Source organism: Homo sapiens, chromosome 18 (assembly GCF_000001405.40).
Source record: "Homo sapiens chromosome 18, GRCh38.p14 Primary Assembly".
Lineage (NCBI taxonomy): Eukaryota > Metazoa > Chordata > Mammalia > Primates > Hominidae > Homo > Homo sapiens.
The window spans coordinates 59,319,677-59,347,063 of NC_000018.10; the positions used below are offsets into that span (position 1 = coordinate 59,319,677).

The following is a 27,387-nucleotide window of genomic DNA, read 5'->3' on the forward strand; positions in this document are numbered from 1 at the left end:
TATGAAAGGCTAAAAAAGATAATTTAGGGTGAAATATAAGCTGTACTCAGGGCTTCGAGGAGAATGCCCATCAATATTGAGTTCCACTTTCTCTTTTAGATGGGTTGCTTGGAACTTAACACGTTCATACCATTATCTCTAAATTACCATTTATAATAAACTACATTGCAGTCCACTGAGGAATGTTACTAATTAATGTTGTCTCATAGAACTTTTCAAACCATAAAATAAAAGCCACAGCCTTGTGTTTCTGTCTGTTCGGTCTACATTTTATTATAAGTAATTATTTAGATTTATTATAAAATCTATTCTAAAAATTCCATTGTATGAGGAATTAGGAAATATTAATGGTGAGGGTGTCAATTCTAAACTCCAGCACCCATGTGTAAAGGAGTTTCTCCCTGTCCCGTCCTTTTCTGAATGTATGTTTGTGTGGAGGGGGTTAGGAAGAGGGGGTGTCATGCATTATGGGGACTCTTCGGTGGTAGCTTCAGCAGGGTCGCCGTGGAAGGTCTCCTGAGAGTGCTTTATGAAATCAAATATCTTATTATTTCCTCAACAGGTAATTCCATTGAGAATGAGGTCACGACTTAAAAAACTTTTTACTCCTTGATTTATTACAATGACCTTTGCCCTTGGACATCCAGGAACTACTAGCTGGTGTGTAGGATCTTTTTTTTTGGAGACAGCCTCACTGTGTTGCCCAGGCTGTAGTGCAGTGGCAGGATCTCAGCTCTCTGCAACCTCCGCCTCCTGGGTTCAAGCGAGTCTCCTGCCTTAGTCTCCCGAGTACCTAGGATTACAGGCATGCGCCACCATGCCCGGCTAAGCTTTTGTATTTTTGGTAGAGACAGGGTTTTGCCATATTGGCCAGGCTGGTCTTGAACTCCTGACCTCAAGTGATCTGCCTGCCTCAGTTTCTCAAAGTGGTGGGATTATAAGTGTGAGCCACCAAGCCTGGCTGTAGAATCTTGTAGAAATGGTGGTAGAATCTTCCGTTCCTTCAGAAAGGGGAAATGAATGCCCTGGATTCATGAATGGGACCTCTAGGTGTCCCCATCCCATGGCTCCCTACTGTCCTTGCATAGAATCCCCACTCCTTGCTGCAAGATTGCCCACTGCCTAGCTGCCAGCCTCTTCAGCCACACTCCCTTTGCTCATTCTAATCACATTCATGTCCTTGTTGGCCCTTAAACCAAGATTGCTCCCACCTATGTCCTTGTGGAACCTCCTGGCCTGTATTGCTCTTCCACATCTCTAGGTGGCTCACCCTTGCTTAATTCAGGTTTCTGTTCTCATTCACCTTCTTAGAGGGACTTCCCTGACCATCCTAAGATACCCTGCCTCCACTACCCCACCTTTTAATCCTCTATCCTATTCTATTTTTCTTCATAGTACTGCACTCTACCTGAAAGTATATTTTCCTTGATTTAGTTGTTTCCTTTCCATCTACTCCATTGGAATGTAAGCTCCATAAGAGAGACCAGTGCAATTTTGTTCACCTTTGCATCCCCATCTCTGAGAATCATGCTCAGCACATAGTAAGTGATCAATAAGAATCTTGGGGGAAAACAATGAATGAATGATTGCCACTAGGCCTAATGGCTTATTTTTGAGCAAATCGCTTTCAATGGAAGTAATCAAGGTACTACATCGGATGATGGAGGCACTTGGAGAGTTATCTTCAGGCAAAAGGGAGACAGGAGAATAGGGTCTGGGGGCAGGGAACCTAAGGCCAATTCATGCTGACTTCCTAGAACTAAATTAAAAGGAAAACCCCAACTTTCCACACCTAAGTAACAAAAGGACTGGAAGCTACTTCCTTACTCCCTTTGCAACTCCCGGCCCCCCACCCCCACCCCGACCCCCACCCCCACCCCCACCAACTTTTTCTACGTGGCAGATGGAAAATTCAAAGTATCTCTGATTGGCTGCTTTCTGCAGCCAATCAGACATTTGGATAGGAGTGTAACTTTGTAACTTCACTTCAGCCTCTAATTGGTTGCTTTCCACAACCAATCAGATACTTGCATAGGGTGTAACCTTTGTAACTTCACTTCAGTCTCTGATTGTTTGCTTTCCGCAACCAATCAGACTGATTGCAGGCCACTACTTCATTTACATAGGGTGTGCACCAAGTAACCAATGGGAAACCTCTAGAGGGTATTTAAACCCCAGAAAATTCTGCAAAGGGGCTCTTGAGCCCCTATGGTGGGGCCGCTTCCAGTCTGTGGAGTCTACTTTTGTTTTCCATAAATCTCTGCTTTTGTTGCTTCATTCTTTCCTGGCTTTGTTTGTGCGTTTTGTCTAATTCCTTGTTCAAAATGCCAAGAACCTGGACACCCTCCACCAATAACAGAAGTAGCATCTTAGTGCTTACAAATCCACCTCATAGTGGTTGCTGCCTTCTTTGCCAGCTCCCAGGATCAAGACTACTTGCCATAGTTTTTTAAAATCATGCCTCATTCTGATTTAATGGATCACCTTTGTAAACACAGATTCGTTGTGGCCTATTCAACTTGAAAATTTTGATGGTATCTGACCCAAAGAATTTGCTAAAGAAGCAATAATCCCATTAGTGGAATTAAATTTTAGAAAGAGATCACATTCAAACAGCATAAATCCATTTTGGTCCTTCACCTGGGATTTTTCTTTTCACATCAAATACCTAAATTTTGCTCCTGTAATTAAAATCGGCTAGTGGTATCATTTCTTTTTTGACCTTCCCCAAGGAAATCATGGTGATTAGGTTGTCCTGTCTCAGTTGTTATATCCTCTTAGCGGGTGACACAACATTTCAGGGGTAACCATGCAGCTAAACCTCTGTGCTCATGAAGGTCAGCAGAACTGAAGAAGAAAAAGGTCACCAAGCGCCAAGGCATGTGTCACCACACTTGGCTAATTGGCTAAGTGTAGAAATGATCTAAAGATGAGATTCACTGGGATTAATTTTCAACCTCTATTTTAACTGGGAAAAAAGAGGTAATATAAAAAGAGGAAAAAGTCTTGGGAAATAGAAGGACCATTACGGAAACCACAAAGGAAATTAAACACGTAGTCCTAATCCTAATAACTGCCTACTGGAGACATTTTAGTGGTTTGTGTTTTACCTAATAGAGTGTCATGTACATCATAGATGCTTAATACATATTTAATGAACTGTATTGAAATGCCAGGCCAAGTAGCATGTTTGTTTTCATTTCTATAGGATTGGTTAATATTCTTGTAGATACAAACTCAAGGCTATATACCAGCTGTGCAAAGAAATTCCCCAATCATGACAGTATGGTTTTCATTGAGCTACAGAACCAAAGAGTCTCTTCAGTACTACCTTGGCCCATTGTTATCTGATAGATTGTGAGACCATTTGTGACTCTGTGGAGACTCAAAGCATCTCAATCCTTTGTCTCCCAAAGTGGCCATTTTAAGAAATGTATCCCGGGCTGATTCTTCTGTCTTCCAGAAATATTCAGCAGTGTTATACCGAACGTTTCAAAATCTGTGTGTGAGTGTGTGTGTGTGTGTGTGTGTGTGTGTGTGTGACAGGGTCTCACTCTGTCACCCAAGCTGGAGTGCGTAACCATGGCTCATTATAGCCTTGACCTCCTGGGCTCAAGCGATCCTCCTGCCTCTGCCTCCTGAACAGCTGAGACTACAGGCATGCACCATCACACCTGGCTAATTTTTTATTTTTTGTAGAGATGAAGTCTTGCTATGTTGCCCAGGCTGGTCTCAAACTCATGGGCTCAAGTGATCCTCCCACCTTGGCTTCCCAAAGTGCTGGGATTACAGGTGTGAGCCACCATGCCTAGCCCCTAAAGTATTTCTTTTGCCAACACTGTATGACTGGTCTATTTCAGTTCACAGACATCACTTTCTGGTGAGGTAATAACTGTATTCTATTCCGTATCCTCTCTACCACAGAACTTCCATGTTGGTCGAGTGCTGAGTTGGTAGGCAATTCAGTGGTTGTTATTTTCTAACAGGACATGCTGGCTTCCATGATCTGATTGTAAATTGCCATGCTGGTTCTACATGGAAGGGGAAGATGGGCTGGGAACCAAAGATTAATTTTCTAACTTACTGTTTACACAGTGGGCTGACCAGTTTGAGCTGAGCTATGTTCATGCCTGGAATTCAGGTATATTTGGCAAATTGTAACATTCGTGGCATGGCTAGCAATAAGTCTATTTGCATTAAGTACTAAGGAGGCTCTTAGGAGAGACTCATCCAGAGCAGACACAGTAAGTTTGCCTCAGTTACAAAGCCTTAGTTCCCAGAGGCTTGAGGAATTCTGTAGTGTCTTTCACTCAGGTTCACCCTGGCCAAGGCTCATGAACCCATTAGGACTGTTTCCTAGAGATAGACCTTTAATTAAATAGTAACAGCCATTCTCACTGAGAACTCTGACACTGGGGCCCATGCATCACTGCTTTAGTATTTTCTTAACAGAAAGTAACATGCAGCGGGGAGAGAGTCATTCTTCTCCATTTGGCCACAAACTACCCATGATGGTTAATTTTACATGCCAACTTGACTGGGTCACTGGATGCCAGCATTATCTGGTTAAACATTGTTTCTGGTGTGTCTGTGAGGCTGTTCATGGAAGAGATTTGCATTTGAATTGGCTGACTGAGGAAAGCAGATGGTCCTCCCCAGTGTGGGTGGGCATCGTCCAATCTGTGAGGGCCTGAATAGAACAAAAAGCCAGAGGAAAGTTGGATTTGCTCTCTGCTTGAGCTGGGAACACTGATCTTCCTCTGCCCGGGACACTCATGGTCCTCAGGCCTTCAGGCTCAGATGGACTCTATACCGTTGGCTCTGGCTTTCAGGCCTTCCGGTTATACAACTGGCTTTTCTGGGTCTCCGGCTTGCAGATGGCAGATCGTGGGACTTCTCAGCCTCCATAATCATGTGAGCCATACCTTACTTATTTTATATGTATATATGTGTATATGTATGCGTGTATGTATTTAAAGGTTGTTACTCTGAAGAACCTAATACACCACTCCATGGACTGGCTCCTGGAAGCCTCCATTGCTTCTGTGGGCAATGGCAGTCGTGAGGGTGCCTGGTCCAGATGACAGAAGTGGCTGCTTGTTTGGCAGGACAGTGAAATCCTCCTGAGTAGCAGTGGGGCCTGTGTGTGTGATGGAACATGGCAGAAACGGTGCCACTGCTGGGCTGACATGGCAGAAATGGCAGATCCAGAATAAAGAGCAGTTAAGGGCCAACATAGGGGATGACGCCATCAGGAGGAGCAACACCCAATGGACATCACAGGGGTTCAGAGAAGAGAAAAAGAGTAAATGCCATGTGGCAGCTGACCAGGCAGCTTCTGGACTTATTTGTGAGGATCTGAGAAACGGAATGGGACTCCCAGCACTGCTGAGGACCATTTCCTTTTTTTTACAACTCATGAGCAGGTAAAGAGCCAAAAATCCTGTGTTGTACTGTTCTGGGTCAGTTCTCTCTCTGATTTTCAGACGCATAGACTAACAATAGCTAACATTTATTGGGCATAAGCATCTCGTTTCTAAGCTCTATTTATGGTGCTCTGTTATCTCAATTATCACCCCATTTTAGAGGTAAAAGATTAAGGTATGTCTCTGCCCTGACTCCAAGCCTATATTGCCTTCTGGCCATTTTTACTTGGTTAGTTAATGTCAGAATCTATGTTCCAAATGGAACTCAACCTCTTCTTCCCTCGTCTTCAATTCCCATCCTTTTTCTTGTGTTCCCTGTTTTAGGACACCTTACATCTAATTCTACTAGCCAGAAACAGAGTATCATTTTACATTCTTCCTTCTCATTCACTCCCCACTTCTAATAGTCATTAGATGCTTGCTATGGCCTGAACGTTTTGTCCCAACACTCCTATGTTGAAATCCTAACGCCCAAGGTGTTACTAATAGGAGATGGGGCCTTTTGTAGGTGATTGGGTTGTTAGGGTAGGGTCTTGATCTTCGACTTCCCAGTCTTCCAGAACAGTGAGCAATAAATTTGTTTTTTATAAGCCACCTCATTTATGGTATTTTGTTAGAGTGGCCCAAACTAACTCTAATTGTCCAATGCTACTATTGATAAGAGTTTTGGCCTTCATTCAGGCCACCATTTTTCACTGGGAGCACTGCGGCTGGTCTCTCTCAAGTCTCCTTCCTCCAATCCATTCTCCATGAAGCAAACAGAGATTGCAATGTTTGAAATGCTATTGCCTTTCTGCTTGATTTTCATGGCCTTCCATTACCCTCTGGATGAAGTCCAAGCTCCTTTACAGAGCCTTGGGATCTGGCCTCTGTATATCCCACCCAACATTTTTCCCAGCATAGCAGAATAAGCTTACAGGTTCTCACATAAACTACAGTTTCTTAACTCCATGCTTTTGTTCATGTTATTTTTTCTGGTTGGAGTAAGTTCACTTCCAGTCCCCCTTGCACTACACATACTTCAGCATATGGCTCAGATAACATCTTCTGTGGGAAGCTTCTCCAACCTACAACCCTGCCTCAGACTCAAGATTCTTCAAATACGTGTGTGCATCAATTCTGAAAAATTCTTAGCTATTACACCTTTGAACAGTTCCTCATCATGACTCTCCCAATTCCTTCTAGAACTACTGGTAGACTTATGTTGTACCTTCTCACCAATTGCCAATTTATTGCATTTTCCACCACTTTAATATCTGTGTTGTACTCTCGGTAATTTGCTCAGGTCTATCTTCTAATTCAAGAATTCTTTCGAGCTTTGTCCAATCTGGTATCCAAATTTGATCCCCACCTCCCATATCAAAGTTGTGTTTTGGGTGGTCCTTTGGAACTCCAACTGTCTTATTTTTCAGTGTTTCATTCCTTCCTCATGATTTCCAGTCCTTTTATAAACTCTTCAGTATTTTTAATGTCATTTCAAGTATACATATTTGTTGTCTTCTTCTGACTGTTCTATCATCTCAGATTCTTGGAGGTGCCAGGTTTCATTATTGTATCTACTGTCACTCTTTCGTATTTCTCTGGTTTGGTTTATAGTTTTTAGAGCTCATTTTAGTTAGGACTGGCTGTCCCTATGGTTGTCTAATGTACTTTTGTTGTGCAATTATTGCTAATGAGTGGTTTTGTTTTGCCTTCTGGATTTTCCCAGACAAGAACAAATTTACACATTGTTTTTGACTTAAAAGAATTCCACACCATATAGGTAAAGCATACAGCTGGGCTTCAATTTCTTAACAAATGTCCCCTTACCCAGAGCTCCAGGGAGAGAGCTTCCTACGCCTTCTCGGAGCTGTTGGGGTGGAAGTAAGAGGTCCTTTCAGCCCATTTCCACTGAAGGAGCAGCTCTTCCAGAGTCCTCACTTTATCCTAGCATCTCAGTTCGAGCCTCCTGGGTTTTCTAGGCCTAAAGCCATGTCTTCAATGCCACAAATGAATTTTCAATGACAATGTCAATAATTTTCAATGACAGTACCTAGGGCCTATGTGTAGTCTAGTTTCTGCCACTCCCTACTACTAGTAGGCTTCCTGATCGGGTTTTAAGTTCTGAATTCTTTCGAACCCATCTATGTATTTAAATCTTTCATCTTATCCACCATTTGTCTTTACCAATTAGTCTATCATTTTTTGAAGCCTCCTTATAAAGACGCTCTTTTACTATGCTTATAACCATGCGAGATAAGTATTATGAGGAAACTGAAGGTCACCTCCAGTAAGTGAGAGAGCCAGGATTCAAACCTAGATTTGTCTAACCTCAAAGCCCTACTCTTTTATTTTTTTTTTACATTAACTCTCAGAATTGGAATTACTTGGTTAAATGGTACTTGTCAAAAAGATTAAAATATTTTTTAAACTACCACTAATTAGTAATGACTAGGAGTTCCAGCTTAACTACACTTCTGCCATCATTTGGTTATCAGAGGTAAAAACATCAAGTACATTGTTTTAATTAGTTTGTATTTTTCATTACCAGCAAGGGTAAACAGTTATCCATGACCATTTCTATGTTCTCGTGGCATGCTTCCATGTACTGCCTCTGCATGCAGCAGGCCACCTCGGGCAGAGCCTAAAGCATGTGATAAATGAAATGCTATCACAATACAGGTTGTGTCTGAAAAACAAATGGCAACTTATTATCCAAGATCAATGAAGGAAAAAGCAAATTTACTAAAATATTTCTTTATTTGAATAAGGTCAATGCCATTTCTTGAATTCCAGCTAGCATCAAATAATCAGGAAAAAAAAAACTTGACAAAATGTTATCCAATTGAAATTGACAGTGGATAGAAAACCCTTTTAAACTTTAAGTAATGTCATAAAAGAAATATATTAAACAAGCAACAGACAGATCTAAAAAGTTCCAAGTGTGGATTTCACATTAGATCTTATAAATTAAAAAAATCCTCAATATAATCATTTGTTCACTATCTTCTTTCAATAAGCACATGGACAGGGAAAGATAATCACACCTTAATATTCACAACTGCTATTTGTGTTCTTTACAAAAATTGTATCTCTGCAATGCAGTGAGGCAGGCAATCCCTTGTTCAAGTCATTTCTGTTTTCCCTAAGTTATCAAAAAGTACAACTGTCTGATATAAATTGTTACCATAATCACAATCAGGAAGGCAAAGAAGCTTTAGCAGGCAGGCTTGAAGATGGGAGTTTTCATGGCTTGACCATGAATGATCTCAAGATGATTTCATAAGATTAAAAGCCATCACGAAAATACTGAAAGCAACAGGTAATAATCTGGATTCAGTCTGTAGTTGCTCATGAACCACGCGTTTTAATAAAAGGAACATTAAGTAAATTGTAGGTATAAAAGAATCAGTGCATATCTGTTAATGTCATTGACAATAAAAATATATTATCTTCTCAGCTCAGCTCTAAATTAACAAAACACCTATTTTTTTTTTCCCACTCCTCATTTTAGTGGTTCTCAAACATTGGTGTGCTCAGAATCTCCTGAGGTGCCTATTGAACAATGACATCCCAAAGCCCCACCCCTAAGATTTGATTCAGGTTGTCTGAAACCAGGCGCCATGACCCAGATGGTCCATGGATCATACTTTGAGAAACACTGATATCCCCTTAATACATAACAAAACATTGTTTACTGTTTATGACTTCATGGTAAAGTTTTAAGCTGAATAAAACATTCAAACAATTATTAGAACACAAATAGGTACATTAAATAAGGATATAAGCCATTACGCAATTGCATTTTCCTTTTAAAAGTGGCATCATAGACACAATGACTTACATAAAAATTTTAAAATCAATTTTGTTTTAATCCAAGGCACCTGTAAAACACTTGCTGGTGTGAGAGAAGTGAACAAATTCAATTATACAAAATAGTACAGAAATGAAAGAATCCTGGCAGTGATTGATTTTTCCACAGAGCAAACCTTTTTGTTCAGAAATGAGCTCCTTAAAGTCAATGATTTTGAGAAAAACCACACTTCAAATATGATACACATCATGTGAACTACTTTGCTGAGTGATTTTCAAGCAAAGTATATCACTAAGTATAAAAGATAAAAGGCTCATGCTCATGCTGTTTCATAATAGCCATCTCCATTTGTAGTAAGAATAATCAGAATGATTCCCCTTGAATTTCAGCCTGAAAAATGTATACTGCATAGATCTGGTATTCCTTTAATGCACAGGCACATATGACCATGGACTTTATAATACTGGATTTGGCAGCCTTTTATCTCAAGAGGATTTCTCAAGTTTCATAGTTTACAACTTAAATATTCCTCTGAAGGTATTTAATTTTTTTTCATGGAGCAAGAGTAAATTCTGTGATGATGAAGCCTCTGAAACATGAATTTCAAAATGTTAACACTACAAAAGAAAAATGCTAGAGAAGCATTTTCTGTGTTGAAATGACTGAAGTAAAGTGAGTTATCACTGGCATATTCTCTTTCAGTGTTCTAGGATAAATATCAACATAAAAAGCAACGCCAGACTGTTTGCACACACAGCACTCGTTTGGTATTGCTATAATACAGAGTTCTTCAGAAAGTCTTTATATATAGATTTTAGGTCGTTAGCCCAATCTGTAAATGACATTTGAGAGCAAACCTAGGGAGGCTTGGAATAATTCAACAGTACTATTTTATAAGATAGTATTGTTTGGAATTCTATGGCAAATGAAAGACAACCATTTTAGCTAAAAGAAGTAAAAGAGTATTTTGAAGGCAGCAAAAATCAGTATAAATCAGCTGTGAACAGAATTAAATTTGCATCTTAAAATGTCATTTACAGACTGTTTCTGTAATACCTAGAAGTATGCACAAAGACTATAAAAACTCCTTCCAGTCTGACATTTCAAGGTTAAGTTTACTAACAAGTGCTTCACAATGTCCTTAGTTCTGGCACTAAAAGGAAACAATTAGAAGTATTCACTGTTTTTCAAATTTTGCCTTCAAGAATCTTAAAACTGCTTCTACTACAGCCTCCTTGATTTAAAAGAGTATGCAAATGGTCACTAACCCCAGCCAGCATGAAGTAACTAATGTAAACCAGAATGTAGTGGCAGGTTTTGTGAATTTAAATCCTCAGATCATGCAATTTGAGCTGAATTTACATGCTGTAGTAAAGGGAGAAATAAATTCCTTAAGTTACAAATATAAATATAAAAATTATTTTCATAATATTGACCTGACCCCATTGGAATGAAGACATTCAAGAATATGGGCAATCATGAATGAATACATTACCAGGCAAAATACCTATAAAAGCCATTCTCAGAGGAATGTTTCCACCCACAAGGTTTTTTAGGCAAAAAGCAGCTATTAATTTTCCTCTAAAATTTCCTTTAAAAGTGAAATATATCATTGATAAATAGAGGAAAAAAAAATTTCACTTAACATTTTGAAGTCTATTACCAGATCCTTAAAGCTCTCAGACAAAATATTCTTTGATTTCAAAGGAAGTTGCATTAAGATGAAAGGACTGCAGGCCCAGGCCTTTGATTAGGAAGTCTGACCTCTAAAAAAGACTTTGGTTACAAAATAAACCTGATGGGACTTCTTAATTAGACCTCATATTCTGGGAGGCATGAGGGCAAGTGTGTTTACGTTATACAGGGAAACCTGCAATATTGGAGACTTAGGGGGTAACATTCATATCCAGGGGTTGCCCCCACTTTATTTACCCTCTTACTGGTCAATATTCTGCTCAGAGGCTGCATCATACTGACCAGAAATTCACTGAAATTTAGACAGATTTACATACTGTGAACAAATTAAAATGTGGTTGTCTTTGCTTTAAGGTTTATTCTTAACTGCAAATCAATGTTTAAACAGTTATTTTATTAAGAAAATTAATAATTTAGACTATGAAGCAATTTAAATACTTAAATTCCCTCAAAACGACATCATTTTGTACACAAATAGATGAAGTACACAGGAAAATGGTAGTCAAAAGAATTTTTTGGCAGCTGCTTCTTGCTGAGACCTAATGAAAAAAAGAAACAAACACTTAAAGAAGTTCTATACGCTTAACTTTGGAAAGAAACAGGACTATTTAAAATTAAAATATCAATGCCTTTTGAAGTATACAACGCATTAAGATAAACATATATTCTACACGTGCACTTTATGTGAACTGAAATGAACAGAAATCACAATAAACTTAATTTTATAGGTGGTGAAAATTGTATTATGAACATAGATAACTTAGTTGAATATTTCTAATTAAACAGATGCAGAAAAATATTGGGTCACATTTTATCAAGAGACTTACCTATACATGATATAACCAATGAATAATACAGTTTGCACCACAACAAATATAATGAAGTGGACCGTAGACAAACATGATGGAAATGGTGGTAGTTCTGGGCATTTCGGCTTTTCATTTGATGGCTGTAAGGCAAATGACTTTCTATTACAGTTAGTCAAAATAGCAGTTTGGAAAAAGAAATAAATGTGAAATCTTTATAAAACTGTTTGCTATATAAACAAGTATTTTCATTTTTTCATCCCCCAGAAAACCTTCTATCCCCTTAACTTTTACTGACAACTGTTTTTGAAGGAGTAGTTGACACTGGAAGGCCTCCACCTTTTTACTACCCAGTCACTAACTCACTGCCTCCTGGCTCCTGTCTGCATTACAGTATATGATGATGTTGCTGTCCCTGAGGTCACTGAGACTAGCGTCACCACAGACAACTCCTCTGGATACTCCCAGTTCACGCTTGCTGTAGTGGTGTGATTATTAGCACCCCTTCATTCTCAAAAGTGTCCCAGGTCAGACAATAAATTACATGGTTACCCTACCAATGAACTACTTGACAAACAGACTGGCTTTTTCTCAGTCCTCATTCTCTACAATCTCATATCATTCAACATTATTCACTGGTGTTCTGAAAAATATTTCTTTCCCTATTTCCCTGAGTATTCCTTCTATTATAAGGAGGCAATTAAATACCAGGAACAAAGACTTCATCCAAGTACCCAGAGAGAATGGCTTCTAAGATTAGTTGTTCCCAATATAGTTATATTTGTGGGACAAAGTTCTTCAGTAAATTGATACACACAGTATCAATTTGGTCATTGCAACAAAGACAATGTACGAGAAAAATAACCTCAAACAGAACTAAGGGGACAGATAATAATGCTTTGGATGAGAGGTCATGATCAATAAGAAAACTATTAAGCCATCTTTGAAAAAAATGTATATTCAAGGCATATATACAGGAATATAGTTAAGAGAGTTATCAAAAAATATAAAGGAGACAAGATTAGAAGCTGAAGACCTAAGTTTTCTCCCTTTCCTACTTACTAGCTACTGACCTTGGGAGAGTCAGTTTAATGTAACATTATTATTAATCTATTAGTATATTTTCTAAAGGTCATCAAACGTTTTAAAAAGCTTTTAAAAAGATAAAACGCGATATAAAATATAAGGGATTGGGATTTCTGCTTCTGGTAAAGCAGACTAGGAAATATGGGCCAACCATATCCCAAATATGTCTTATAGAAGACAACCAGCAGAGTCAAAAACATATCTAATCCAATCCAAGCACACGAAACCTGGGTGAAGGTAAATGAAGCTAACAAGATAGCAAGAAATTACCAGATTAGAACCTTGACGGAAAAATAGGCCAAAGAAATACACTTTAAGCAATCCATGGGTCAGAGAAGACATTAACATGGAAATCAGAAAATATTTTCACGAAATGATAATATAAATATTACATATTAAAAAACCATGACTGCTATGGGAACTGTTCTTCCACCTTCAATAACTAGAAAACCAGGACACATGGAGATCTGCAATAAATGGGACAATTCTACCTTAAACATTAAAAATAAGCATTAGCATTAACTAAAGGGTTAAAATACTTGCAGTAGAGTATGAGTTCTTCCTTTCCTAAAGATTATAATTATAAAAGGAAAAGGAAACAAAGTTACCATATTTCGCTGCACTAAGTTATCTATGTCCCTCTTTACTATGTGCAGGTGCTCTTTGATGTCAATGAAGTGCTGTGTTGTCTCATAGACGCCTCCAGCAGAGCCAGGGTGCTGCATTCCACTGACCAGTCTGACGGTTTCACTCATGGAATTTCTGAAACAGAAAGTCTCTTGATACAATAAAATCACTATAAAGTTTTTTTTTTTCAGTCACAGATCTCCAATACTTTTACTTTTCAAGTCTAATATATTACATCATTTAAAAAAAAAAACAGGTAAAGTATCTTTAAAAATCGAGTTGTGTTCAAAATTGGAAAATAATTTATAAAACGACATTATGCCTTTATATTTTACTAAAGGTCATCTAAAAATACCATGTAGAAAATACTACTAGGTAATCTGTGTTAAAACCAATAGTATAAGTGGATATTGAATATAATGGATGATATTTTTAATGAAGTTATAATAAATCTTTCTAGGTGTTCAGCTGTACAGTAAAGGACTAGTGCCAAACGCAATCATTTCCTATAGGCACACTCACACACACACAGACTTGTCCGCTTTGTAGCTGCACATATAGATGATTTCACTCATACAGCATATAGTAGGAGGCTAATGGCTTTGTGACCCTGAGGACAGGGGTCACAATTCTGATTTCCTACGAGTGCATTCAACAGTTATGGTTCAATTTGGAGGAATAAATAAATAAGTTATTTCACTGGAGTCAAATGTAGTTTAAAAAGTAAGAGCTTTACCAAAAGAAAAAAAAAAAAGAGACTCAAATTACTTAAAAATAACACTATATGTCAGACAGAATGTTAAGTATAACATTTAAAAAATTATGTTTGAGTTACATGAGCAGTGAAGACTTAAAAGTAGTTACAAAATATCTCAAGTGCTTTTGAATCAATGTCACGTGTTGATTAAAATTTCTTTCAATGGCACATATGCTCAAGAAAATTCCTGTGGGGCTAAGCTTTTCCACTTAAACTCAAATTAAGCATAACATTTTAATATAACTAAAATAATACCAAGACCAAAACCTCACAGAGTATGTAACGTTGTCACATATTTGTATTTAAGAAATTCTGCTTCCCAGAAGCATGAACTTGCTTAGGTATAAATGTCTTTTTAATATACCAAAGATTGAGTCACTTAATTTGCTCCTACTCAGTCATTCATTCATTTGCCTGTTCATTCTGCTAACATTTATTTCATAAGTGCTGTGAGCCAGGGAATATTAGGGATATAAACTTTGCAAGAAGAATGAAATATCTGCCCTGTGGAGATGAATTGTCTAGCAGGAAAGCAACGTGACAGAAGCACGACTAGAGCTCTACAAAGAAAGATGCATTTAGCTGAGTGTCAAAAAATGAAGAGGAGCCTATGGGGATAGAATTGTGGTTGAAGGAGGTCATAGTTGGTTTAGGAAACAGGTCAAGTGAAAAGAGGGCTGGACAGAACGCTTGAAAAGAATACCTTTTAAGGGACGATGGAAGGAGAGCAAGTGAAGATAACTAAATGGAAGCAGAGGCCAAAGAATACCAGGAGTGAATGGTGTATCAGAAATCTTAAAAGGGAAGTTTTGAGATGGAGAAGTGGGAAGAGGCATCAACTGCTACAGAAAAGCTACATGCTTTCTAAGATCTCTTTCTGCTAAAAAAAATTTCTTTGATTCCTTAAGAATATAAAAATCCACAAAGAAACAAACTACCCTTTCCATTAAAGGCAAATATTTTCTATCTCTTTACATTTTTTTTTTGAAGCTAAATCCTAAAGAAAAAGTTCCAGAGCACTAGTTCAGAAACTTGAGCTCAGTTTTTATATTAACTTACTGTATGCATGACATTTATTCTCAGTAAGTGGGAGTTTGCAAGGATTGTTAACTCCTCTAAGAAAGGGATTCTATGGATAATACAACTGGACAGCTAGGACGTCCTGACAACTAGTTACATCTTTAGATGTCCTAGTACTACTGTTAAGTAAAACATGCAAAGCACAAAAGAGTATCTAGAATATGCTACCCGTCACATAAGAAAGAAAGGGACTTCAGAAAATATGGGCTGGGTGCAGTGGCTAACACCTGTAATCCCAGCACATTAGGAGGCCAAGGCGCGTGGATCACCTGAGGTCAGGAGTTCGAGACCAGCCTGGCCAACATGGAGAAACCCCATCTCTACTAAAAATACAAAAGTAGCCAGGCATGGTGTCAGGTGCCTGTAATCCCAGCTAGGCGGGAGGCTGAGGCAGAAGAATCGCATGAACCCAGGAGGCAGAGGTTGCGGTGAGCCAAGATTGCACCAGTGTACTCCAGCCTAGGCAACAAGAGCAAAACTCCATCTCAAAAGAAAAAAAAAAAAAGAAAGAAAAGAAAAAGAAAATACGTATATGCAGAAGAAATACAGGAAGAACAAACCGGAAGCTAACAGAATTGGTTACCAAGAGGGAATGGGTGGGAAACAGCTGGAAAGAAGGGGAGGATGGGAAAGTGGTAGCAAGGATGAAGAAGCGATATACACATGCTCTGCCCCTTAGAACCATAGTATTCATATACCCAAAATACAAACAATTTAAATCAACCAGGATATAGGAGGAATATAAACATTAACAAAGAATCTAGCTGGATCCTAAATGAGTAATATCAGCCATAATGAAAAGAGTAGGGAAAAAGAGAACTACACTAAGAAACTATCTGGAAAAGAGTATCTGGGCTGGATACTGTAAAGCTAGAGATAAAAGGAACTTTACATAAACTTGTCAGTAAATGTCTTTCTCACAGGGATACGAGCTAACAATTTGAAACCACTTTGTGTGTACTTATATGCATACTCAAGTGAAACCAATAAGTAAATATGTTATAGATACAGATAATAAGAACCAGGTTTTTCCCTGTTGGAGGAAGAATTTTCAAATAAGACAAGGGGGAAAGTTAAAAATTAACTCTGTAGTGTTCAGTCCAGCCAGAATCCAAAATATCTGCATAATCTCATGGTTTAACACAAGAGTAGGTTGACAGACACGGAACTACAGACTCATGTACATGCATGGGTTGGTATACATATGTATATTCCCTAGCTCTGTCCAGTAAGAGGCCTAGAGGTAACGGCACCGCGGTAGTAATGAGCATACCTAGTGCCCAAAGGTTGGTTTTCAAATACCTTTCTCAAGAAAAAGGAACCAGGGCTCACTGAGGGCAGAGAAAATACAAGATGACCCTAGAAGATAGAGCAGTACCATAAATTTTTAAAATGCTCAAAAAAAGATGAGGGCTTGTTGAGAGAACAAAGATGCCAACATGAAGGAGCTCAGAATGACCATACCTGAAACAATTTGAGCAGCAAAATAAATAAGGAGAGTGTTGGACTGTAACCTATGGAATAAGTATCCATGAGTCTGAACTGATCTAAATAAATAACTAAATAAATAAATGGGAGAGAAAAGATAGTTGGTCCTGACAGCAGAATTCCAATGAACAAATATGGAGGGAATTATTTCGAAATATAAACATCGGGGCCAGGCGTGGTGGCTCACGCCTGTAATCCCAACACTATGGGAGGCAGAGGCAGGAGGACTGCTTGAGCCCAGGAGTTTGAGATCAGCCTGGGCAACATGGCAAAATCCCAACTCCAAAAAAAATAGAAAAATTAGCTGGGTGTGGTGGCATGTACCTGTAGTCCCAGCTACTCAGGAGGCTGAGATGGGAGGATCATTTGAGCCCAGGAGGTTGAGGCTGCAGAGAGCTGTGATTGCACTACTGCACTCCAGCCTGGGCAACAGAGCTAGACCCTGTCTCAAAAAAATAAATAAATAAATACATAAAAATAAAAATTAAAAAAAAATCAGCATTTGGCAAAAACCACTTTCTTGTTACAGGCAAGAAACATCAATGGATGCTAAAATGAATGAGCAGAAGGTTGAAATGGATACTTACATAGTCTCAAAGTACCTTCTCCAAAATACTAACCACAAAGGGAAATACAGTAACTTTAAAGTAGAGATAGCAATAGGAAACCACCATAACCGAGTGATCACAGCCAACATCATCAGTAATATCTTACCAATCTTATATAATAATATATATAATTATATTATATAACATATTATAATATATAATATCTTCTTATCAAAATGTGGAACTTCCATCCAACCAAACCCAAATCAAAAGGTATTAACTGATTAATGCTCTTGGAAAATGTCAAGGTCATGAAAGACAAGGGAAGATGAACTACTGCAGACTGCAGAAGGCTAAAGAGAAAAAATAACTAAATGTAATGTGCGATTGTGGATGGGATCCTGGAATAGAATAGGCCTTGGTGGAGAAACTGATAAATTTTGAATAGGTCATTAATTTAGTTGATTGAATTGTATCAATGTTAATTTCCTGGTTCTGACAATTAAACCATGGTTATATAAATTAGAGAAAGATGGGTGAAGAATGTATAGAAACTTCCCATACTATTTCTGTAGCTTCTGAGGTCTAAAATTAGATCGAAATAAAAAGATTTTTAAAAAGGTTGCGTTACATGATCCAGTCTATTTCTAAAAGGATTCTATTCATTTAACTAAACTATTTGAAGAGCTAAACTATTCATCTAGCATCATAAATATTTCAATCATGAGTTCAGATTATGAAGATTTTTTAAAATGCAAAGAGAAAAATTGAAGAAATATAAATTTGCAGTTATAAGTTAAGTGCCTTTAATCTCTAGACATCAGGTATAATCACCTTCTGTTTGATCTAACCTTGTTTAATTCTCCAGTCCTAAAGAACTCACCTTGACATTCTTGTTTGTCAAGGGTTCTATCGGTTGGGACAGTGCTCTGAAATGTTAGGTTATGGAAACATGACACTATGGTTTGTTATCTCTGCTCCAGGCATTGAAAGCTATTAATTATCTGCATAAGTCAATCATTCTCATTAGAAATTTATTGTTCAACATTCTAAGGACACAATTATCTCCTCTCTGCTCCAACTCTGTCCAGTCTCTCTGAGAGTAAAAGATGGGAATGAAAAAGAGGTAGTCACACATATTACGTTCAAAATGGTTTCATTCCATCAAAAAGAATTTCCTGCATCAGGTCTGCTTGTATTATAGTCTTACAATGCTACACATATTTATTCCTCTAGTACTTTTCATAAAAGTGTTATATATTATTTCATATTCTTTTTATATTTTATAAATATAAGAACACACCTGGCTCTGTCAAGTAACTGACAAATCTCTTTAAAAGATGCCAAAACATTTTTTCTTTTCCAGCTCTAAACAATTAAAAACTTTAGACATGTTTGCAGTTTTTGAATATTAAAAGTTGCTGTATTTATGGTCCCCTATTTGTAAAATGAATCTAGAACGGGATTCTTACCCTCATGCAGAAATCTTGCAATACAGTGCTTGCACACCTGAAGTCACAAATTTAGGATAAAAAAAATCACATAACACACAAACGCTACTTTTCCATACTTACTTCATTTCATTTACTTGTCTCAGAATCTCATGCTGAGTTTTCACAACAGTATCCAGTTCTTGTTGAGTAATCTGGAGGAAGAAACAATGACGAGCAAGCTGAATAATCCACATTCTATGAGCACATAGTACAGTTGCCCTTCTTCTTTACTTCCCTTCCAGCAAAGGGTAAATGGGGCACATCTGCATATTCTGCAAGCCCACCTGCCCATGCTGCCCAGGCATTCCTGCTCCTCTTTTAGAGATTTCCTCTGTTAAGGAAGAGACATATCTTCTCTGTTCATCAAGAATCATATCTAACTGCCGGTTCAGCTGCTTGATTTCAAGATGAATACGATTCTGTCCTTCAAAGACTTGTCTTAGCTCTCGATCTCCTACACTCTCAAATATTTCCTCCGCTGAAAAGGAAATAAATAAAAATGATCAGAGTCACCTACACATATGTAGTTTTTGAAATAACGTAAGTGACCAAAGTGCCAACATTCAGCAAAATTAGGACATCACCATCACAGTGGTACAATCTCCCAAACAGAAAATATGCAAATAATTAATTCAATAATGATTAAATTATTTGTTTTCTGCCATTTCAGGTGATTGAACACTTATTATAAACTGGGTTTAAATTTTTTTATTTAAAAACAATTTTTCTTGGATAATCTCAGGAGGGATCAAAATGGCTAACCAGATGCAAGTAGTATGTACCTCCTCCACGGAGAAAAACCAGAGTAGTAAGTAGATACTTGCATTTCAAATAGATTGCCTAGGAGAGAATGCTAGGATTCATCAGAGAAGAAATGGGAAGCACCAAAATAAGGAGAGAGTTTGAGGCAGCTTGCCCAGCCAGGAGCTGACTGAGCACCAGAAGGGCTCCTAGATGATGGGAAACAGTAAGAGAGAAAACCCCAGGGCCCTGCAGTCCAAAATGGGCTTTTATGATCCTGGCTACAGGAGAAACCTCTGACCCACTAGGGCTGTGGGCTGGACATATGGAACTGCCTAAATATTGCACAGAGATGTTGCTCCATAAAGGGAAACCACATGGAATCCCACAGGCATTTGAGCCTACAACAGCTCCAGTTGGGCACCACTGTTGATAGCCTAGATACTGGGGATCTACAGACATGGCTGCAGTCGCTGCAATGTTCCAAGGAGAGAAGGGGGGACACTGGTCACTCCCATGCACCCCTAGGAAGGTCCCTCCTGCCTTGCTGAAGGGTGCTGCTGATACTGAGACATGAGTAGACAGCACTCCCCACAGCTTCTTGCCCATGCTGCTTGCCTGGAAGGGACCCTACCCTCTCTGGTCCCAGACCCAAGGTGAAACACTGAGAGTTTAATGGAGGGTTGTGCCCCACCCTCAGGCTATGTTTGGGCTGACAAGGCTGTAGCTACCACCTGGCCAAGGAGAGACAGGAAACAGGCTCTCCTATGCATATCTAGGACAATACCCACTGCCCTGCAATGGGCTCTTGTGAAACTGAGATGTGAGCAGACTGCACTCCTTACAGCTTCTTGCTCATGACACCTGACTAGGAAGGGCCCTGCTCTCCCTGGTCCCAGGCACAAGGCACAATTTTGAGAGTTTCATGCTGGGCTGTGCCCTATCCTTAGTCCGAGTTCAAGTTCATATGGCTGCAGTTGTTGTCTGGCTAAGGAGAATAACTAAGAAAATAATTGATGAGAGCTTCCCAAGTCTAGCAAAAGAGTTAGATGTCCAGATACAGGAGGCCCAGCAATCCCCAGAAAAATATATTGCAAAAAGGGTTTCACTACAGCATATTGTATTCAGAATGTCTAAAGTCAATGTGAAATAATTTTAAAATTAGCAAGAGAGAAGTATTTAGTCACTTATAATGGAAATTCCATCAGATTAACAGCAGACTTTTCAGCAGAAGCTTTACAGGCCAGAAAGGAATGGGCATTCTCAAAGTGCTAATAAAAGAAAAAAAAAAACTGTCAGCCAAGAATTTTATATCCTGCTAGAATCAGCTTCACAAATGAAGAAGAAATAAAGCCTTTCCCAGACAAGCAAATGCTGGGGAAATCCGTCATTACCAGACCAGCATGACAGGAAATGCTCAAAGCGGTCTTAAACATGGAAACAAAAGGGCAATATTCACCATGATAAAAACAGAAATATAAAATAAAAGTTCTTATAAAACAATCACAGAGGGGAGGAAGATGTAAGAATCAAATGGCAACATGACAGAATTTCATCAAATGACAAAGACAAAGATGGAAAAAAGAAAGGAACAAAGAATTTATAAGACAACTTGAAAATAATGAACAATATGACAAGAACAAAGCCTCATATATCAATATTAACCTTGAATGCAGATGGATTAAATGTTCCACTAAAAGATACAGACTGGCAGAATGGATTAAAATACATGGCACAACTATATACTGCCTACAAGAAACTTAGGTTATTCATAAAGACACACATAGACTGAAAGTAAAGAGGTGGAAAATAATAGTCCAAGCAAATGGAAACCAAAAGTGAGAGGAGTAGCTGTACTTATATGAGATAAAACAGACTTAAAAAAGAAAAGACAAAGAAGGTTATTATATAATGATAAAGGGATCAATTCACCAAGAGGATATAACAATCCTAATTTATATGCACCCAACATTAGAGCATCAAAATTCAGAAAACAATTATTACGAGACCTAAAGAAAGAGAAAAACAGTAATACAATAATAGTGGGAGAATTTAACACCACACACACAACACTAGATAGATCGAGACAGAAAAATAACAAAGAAACATTGGGCTTAAATTGGACTTTAGACCAAATGGACTTAGACATTTACAGAACTTTCTACAATAACTATGGAATATACATTCTTTTCACCAGCACATAGAAGACTCTCCGACACAGGACTACATATTAGGCCACAAAATAAGTCTTAGCAAATTTTTGAAAATCAGAATCATATCAAGTGTCTTAGACCACAATGGAATGAATCTAGAAATCAATACTAAGAGGAACTTAAGAAACTAAACAAACACATGGAAATTAAACAGCATGCTCCTGAACATTCACTTTGTCAATGAAGAAATTAAGACACAAATGTAAAAATTTCTTGAAATGAATGAAAATGGAAACACCAAACCAAAACTGAAAAAAGCAGTGTGAAGAGGGCAGTTTACAGCATTAAATGCCACATCAGAAAGTGGAAAGATCGCAAACAATCTAACATTATTCCTCTGCAAACTAGAAAAACAAGAACAAACCAAACCCAAAGTTAGCAAAGAAAAGAAATAACAAACATAAGAGCAAAGCTAAATGAAATAGAGACCAAAAAAATTAATAAAGGATCAACAAAACAAAAAGTTGCTTCCTTGAAAAGATAAACAAAATTGATAAACCACTAGCTAGACTAGGCAAGAAAAGAAGAGAGACGATCCAAATAAACACAATCAGAAAAGAAGGAGACATTACAACAGATTCCACAAATACACAAAAGATCGTCAGAAACTATTTGAACACCTATATGCTCACAAACTAGAAAACCTAGAGGAAATGGATAAGTTCCTGGAAACACACAACTTTCTGAGACTGAAACAGGAAGAAACAGAACTCCTGAACAGATCAATAATGAGTAGCAAGACTGAATCAGTAGTAAAAAAAAAAATCTCTTAACAACAGCCGGGACTAGATGGACTTATAGCTGAATTCTATCAAACATATCAAGAAGAACCAATTCTCCTGAAATTATTCCAAAACACTGAGGAGAGAATTCCCCCTAACTCATCCTATGAGGGCGGTATCACCCTGATACCAAAACCAGACAAGGACACAAAAAAATAGAAAACTACAGACCCATATCCCTGATGAACAAAGATGCAAAAATCCTCTACAGAATACCAGCAAAATGAATCCTACAGCACATCAAAAAGATAATACAGCACGATCAAGGTGGGATTTATCCCAGGGATGCAAGGAGGGTTCAACATATAAAAATCCATATATATGATACACCACATAAACAGAATTAAGAACAAAACACATGATCATTTCAACAGACTCAGAAAGGACATTCAATAAAATTCATCATCCCTTCATGATAAAAATCCTCAATGAACACACCTCAACATTAGGCCACATATGACAAACCCACAGCCAACCTCACACTTAACAGGGAAAAGTTGAAAACATTCCCTTTAAGAACTGGAACAAGACAAGGATGCCACTTTTATCACTCTTACGTGTAATAACATAATACTAGAAGTCTTCACCAGAGCAATCAGGCAAGAGAAAAAAATAAAAGGCATCCAAACTGGAAATGAGTAAGTAACATTATCCCTGTTTGCTAATGATATGATCTTATATCTCAAAAATCCTAATGACTCCACCAAAAAACTCTTAGATTTGATAAATGAATTCAGTAATGTTTCAAGATAAAAAATTAATGTACAGAAATCGGTAGCATTTTCATATACTGATAATGATCTAGCAGACCAAATCTAGAAGGCAATTCCATTTACAACAGCTAAAAAAAAAAAAAAACACCTAGAAATATATTTAACCAAGAAGGGGAAAGCTCTCCATAAGGAGAACTTCAAAACAACGATGAGAGAAATGGTAGATGACACAAACAAATGGAAAAGTATCCCATGCTCATGAATTGGAAGAATCAATATTGTTAAAATGACCATACTGCCCAAAACTATCTACTAGTTCTAGACACTCCCAATCAAATTACCAATGTCATTTTTCACAGAATTAGAAAAAAAAAATCCTAAAACTCATATGGAAAAAAAAGGGAGCCCAAATAGCCAAAGCAATGCTAAGCAAAAGGAATAAATCTGGAGGCATCACATTACCTGACTTCAAATTATACTACAAGGCTAAAGTAACCAAACCAGCATAATACTGGTATAAAAACAGACACATAAGTCAGTGGAACAGAACAGAGGACCAGGAAATAAACCCACATACCTACAATCAACTGATCCTCAACAAAGTCAACAAAAATAAACACTGGGGAAAGGACATCCTATTCAATAAACGGTGCAGAAAAAATTGAATAGCTATATATAGAAGAATGCAAGTGGACCCATACTTCTCACCATATGCAAAAATTAACTCAAGATGGATTAAAGACCTAAACATAACACATGAAACCATACAAATCCTAAAAGAAAACTGAGGAAAGACTCTTCTGCATATTGGCCTAGGTAAAGAACTTAGACCAAGTCCTCAAAGGCAAACACAAGAAAAACAAAAATAGACAAATGGGACTTAAACTAAAAAGCTTCTACACAGCAAAAGAAACAATCAACACAATAATCTAACCTACAGAATGGGAAAAAATATTTGCAAACTATGCATCCAACGAAGGGCTAATATCCAGAATCTACAAGGAACTCAAACAACTCAAGAGAAAAACAAAAAGCCCATTAAAAAACTGGGCAAAGAGCATGAACAGACATTTTTCAAAAGAAGACACGCAAGTGGCCAACAAATAAATGAAGAAATGCTCAACATCACTAATCATCAAAAAAATCCAAATTAAAACCACAATGAGATACTATCTTACACAAGTCACAATGGCCATTATTAAAAAGTCAAAAGACAACAGATGTTGTCAAGATGTGGAGAAGAGGGAATGCTTATATGCTGTTGGTGGGAATGTAAATTAGTACAACCTTCATGGAAAACAGTATGGAGAATTCTCAAAGAACTAAAATTAGAATTACCGTTTGATCCAGCAATCCCACTACTGGGTGTTTACCCAAAGGGAAAGAAATCATTATATCAAAAAGATACTTGCACTTATACGTTTATTGCAGCCCTATTTACAATAGCAAAGATATGGAATCAACCTAAATGCCCATCAACAGAGAACTTGATAAAGAAAATGTGGCGTGTGTGTGTGTATATATGTATGTATATACTATAGACTACTACTCAGCCATAAAATAAGAATGAAATTATGTCTTTTGCAGCAACATGGATGGAACTGGAAGTGATTATCCCAAGTGAAATGACTTAGAAAGTCAAATACCATACATTCTCACTTATAAGTAAAAGCTAAACAATGGGTACACATGGACAAATGGAGTGGAATAACGGACACTGGAGACTACAAAAGGTGGGAGGGGAATGAAGGTTGAAAATTACCCACTGAGTACCAGGTTCATTAGGGTGAGAGTACACTAAAACCCCAGACTTCACCACTATATGACACAAGCATATAAGAAATCTGCACTTGTACTCTTCCTAAATACATAAAAAGTTAAATAAAATTAAAATGGAAAAATATTTCTCTTTCATTACACTGTGTGATTCTACTTATAAGAATAGGCAGAACTAATCTACAGTGATAACAATAAGAATAGTGATGGGCTCTGTGGAGAAGGTTGTTGACTTTAAGGAGGCATGAGGGAACTTTCTGGGATGATAAAAATGTTCCGTGTACTGATCGGGGTGATGGTTAAATGGGTATACACATTTGTCAAAATTTACTAAACAATACTTTTCAAACACTAAAGTCAGCTTCAGGATATACTCACAAATTTTATGTGATGATGTTTAAAACAAATTCAAAATAAGAATGACCTTTATGTTTCATTTTTAAATTCATTAAGTCTGACTCATACTGTTGATCATTAAGAGAACTGCATACTACATAGAGTTCAAATGCTAGCCACAGCCTTTATTAAGTACACCTTTGATCACTTATGCTGACTGGGAACAATTCAGATAAAAAGCTAGCAGATAATATAAATTCCCTCAATTTGGCCTTAAAATGTTTTATTTTTGACATTAGCACACTCACGTTCTTAATAACATTGGGTTAGACTAGTATTTTATAATTTTCAAGTATACAGTCCAGGATTCTATCGAGTAGTATGGGGAGGAGAAGCAGATATGTCACATTACTTTCACAACAGTTTTGATAGATTTTAAGGATTATCTCCACACTATAAGGTAATTATGTGTCACTAAAACCAAAAATATACACTTTTGATGATTTCAGTCAAAAAATATTTACTGAACCTGAACTACTAGGTTAGCATTGTTTTGGATTTATTTTTAGGCTTAGTGGTCACAGCAATGAATATTAACAAAATCCCTGTCCTCATGGAGCTTTCACTCTAGCGGTCCCATTCCTCCAAATAACCATGGTACTCTTTATTTCATACATGACTAAGCCACATTCTCACTGGTAAAAATGCCAATCTCTTGACTCTTAAAGACTAAAGATTTGCTCCTAAATTGTTTCCAGAAATCACTTGGAATGTGCCTGTTCAGAGAGCAGGGATGAGCTAGGCAACACAGAGACTCAAGCGTCCATGATCAACAGCCTCAAGCCCTGCTGCGGCACCCATGTCAGCTTTGCTACAACTCACCAGGCTGCCCTTGGAGGTCGGGGTGGCCCTTCTGGAATTCCTCTTTTTTTTTATCCAATTCTTGTTGAAAGTGCTCAAATTCCTCCTGATACTTTTCTTTTTCCTTTTCCGAAATTTCTTTATCTGGTGTGGGCTTTTTTTTGGAGTTTTGGAATAGATCATTAAAAAGATAAGAAAATCATTAAGATATCTCTATACATGTTATTTTTCTCATTTTAACTCTTCTACCACTAGCGGAAAGGTTAACATAAAAATGTATTCCTTCTTTACTTAAACGATAGCAAATTACTCTTTTTTTTTTTTTTTTTTTTTTTTTTTAGAGACAAGAGTCGCGCTCTGTCACCCAGGCTGGAGTGCAGTAGCGTGATCTCGGCTCACTGCAACCTCTGCCTCCCAGGTTCAAGCAATTCTCCTGCCTCAGCCTCCCGAGTAGCTGGGACAACAGGCACCTGCTGCCATGCCCAGCTAATTTTTTTTGTATTTTTTAGTAGAGATGGAGTTTCACTGTGTTGTCCAGGCTGGTTTTGAACCCTTTAGCTCAGGCAATGCACCCGCCTCGGCCTCCCAAAGTGCTAGGATTACAGGCGTGAACCACCGCGCCTGGCCCTTTTTTCTTTTTTGAGATGGACTCTTACTTTGTTGCCCAGGCTGAAGTGCAGTGTCTTGATCTCAGCTTACTGCAACCTGTCCCTCCCAGGTTCAAGCGATTCTCCAGCCTCAGCCTCCTGAGTAGCTGGAACTATAGGTGTGCACCACCACACCCAGCTATTTTTTGTATTTTTGTAGAGATGGGGTTTTGCCATGTTGGTCAGGCTGGTCTCAAACTCCTGACCTCAGGTGATCTGCCCACCTTGGCCTCCCAAAGTGCTAGGATTACAGGCATGAGCCACCACACCCGGCCTACTCTTGCCTCTAATAATAACCACTACCATTTACTGAGCACTTGCTATACGTGCACTGTCTCAATCCTTCAATATCATGAGGTGGCCAGTACAAACATTTCTGTTTTAGCAATTAAGAAATGAAGCGTGGCCGAGCGTGGTGGCTCACACCTGTAATCCCAGCACTTTGGGAGGCCAAGGCAGGCGGATCACAAGGTCAGGAGATCGAGACCATCCTGGCTAACATGGTGAAACCCCGTCTCT

General features: G+C 38.1%; 1 protein-coding gene across 1 annotated transcript in view; it reads right to left on the reverse strand.

Annotated features, from left to right (window-relative positions):
* The window catches only part of LMAN1 (lectin, mannose binding 1), a 31,443-nt gene continuing 12,202 nt past the window's right edge, over window positions 8,147–27,387 (reverse strand). The window contains exons 8-13 of the mRNA NM_005570.4: window positions 26,243–26,375; window positions 19,084–19,277; window positions 18,881–18,951; window positions 13,415–13,568; window positions 11,742–11,863; window positions 8,147–11,453 (exon numbers count right to left, since the gene is read on the reverse strand). Coding sequence (NP_005561.1) covers window positions 11,417–11,453; window positions 11,742–11,863; window positions 13,415–13,568; window positions 18,881–18,951; window positions 19,084–19,277; window positions 26,243–26,375 — 711 coding nt within the window. The 3' untranslated portion in view covers window positions 8,147–11,416. The remainder of the gene's footprint in view (window positions 11,454–11,741; window positions 11,864–13,414; window positions 13,569–18,880; window positions 18,952–19,083; window positions 19,278–26,242; window positions 26,376–27,387) is intronic.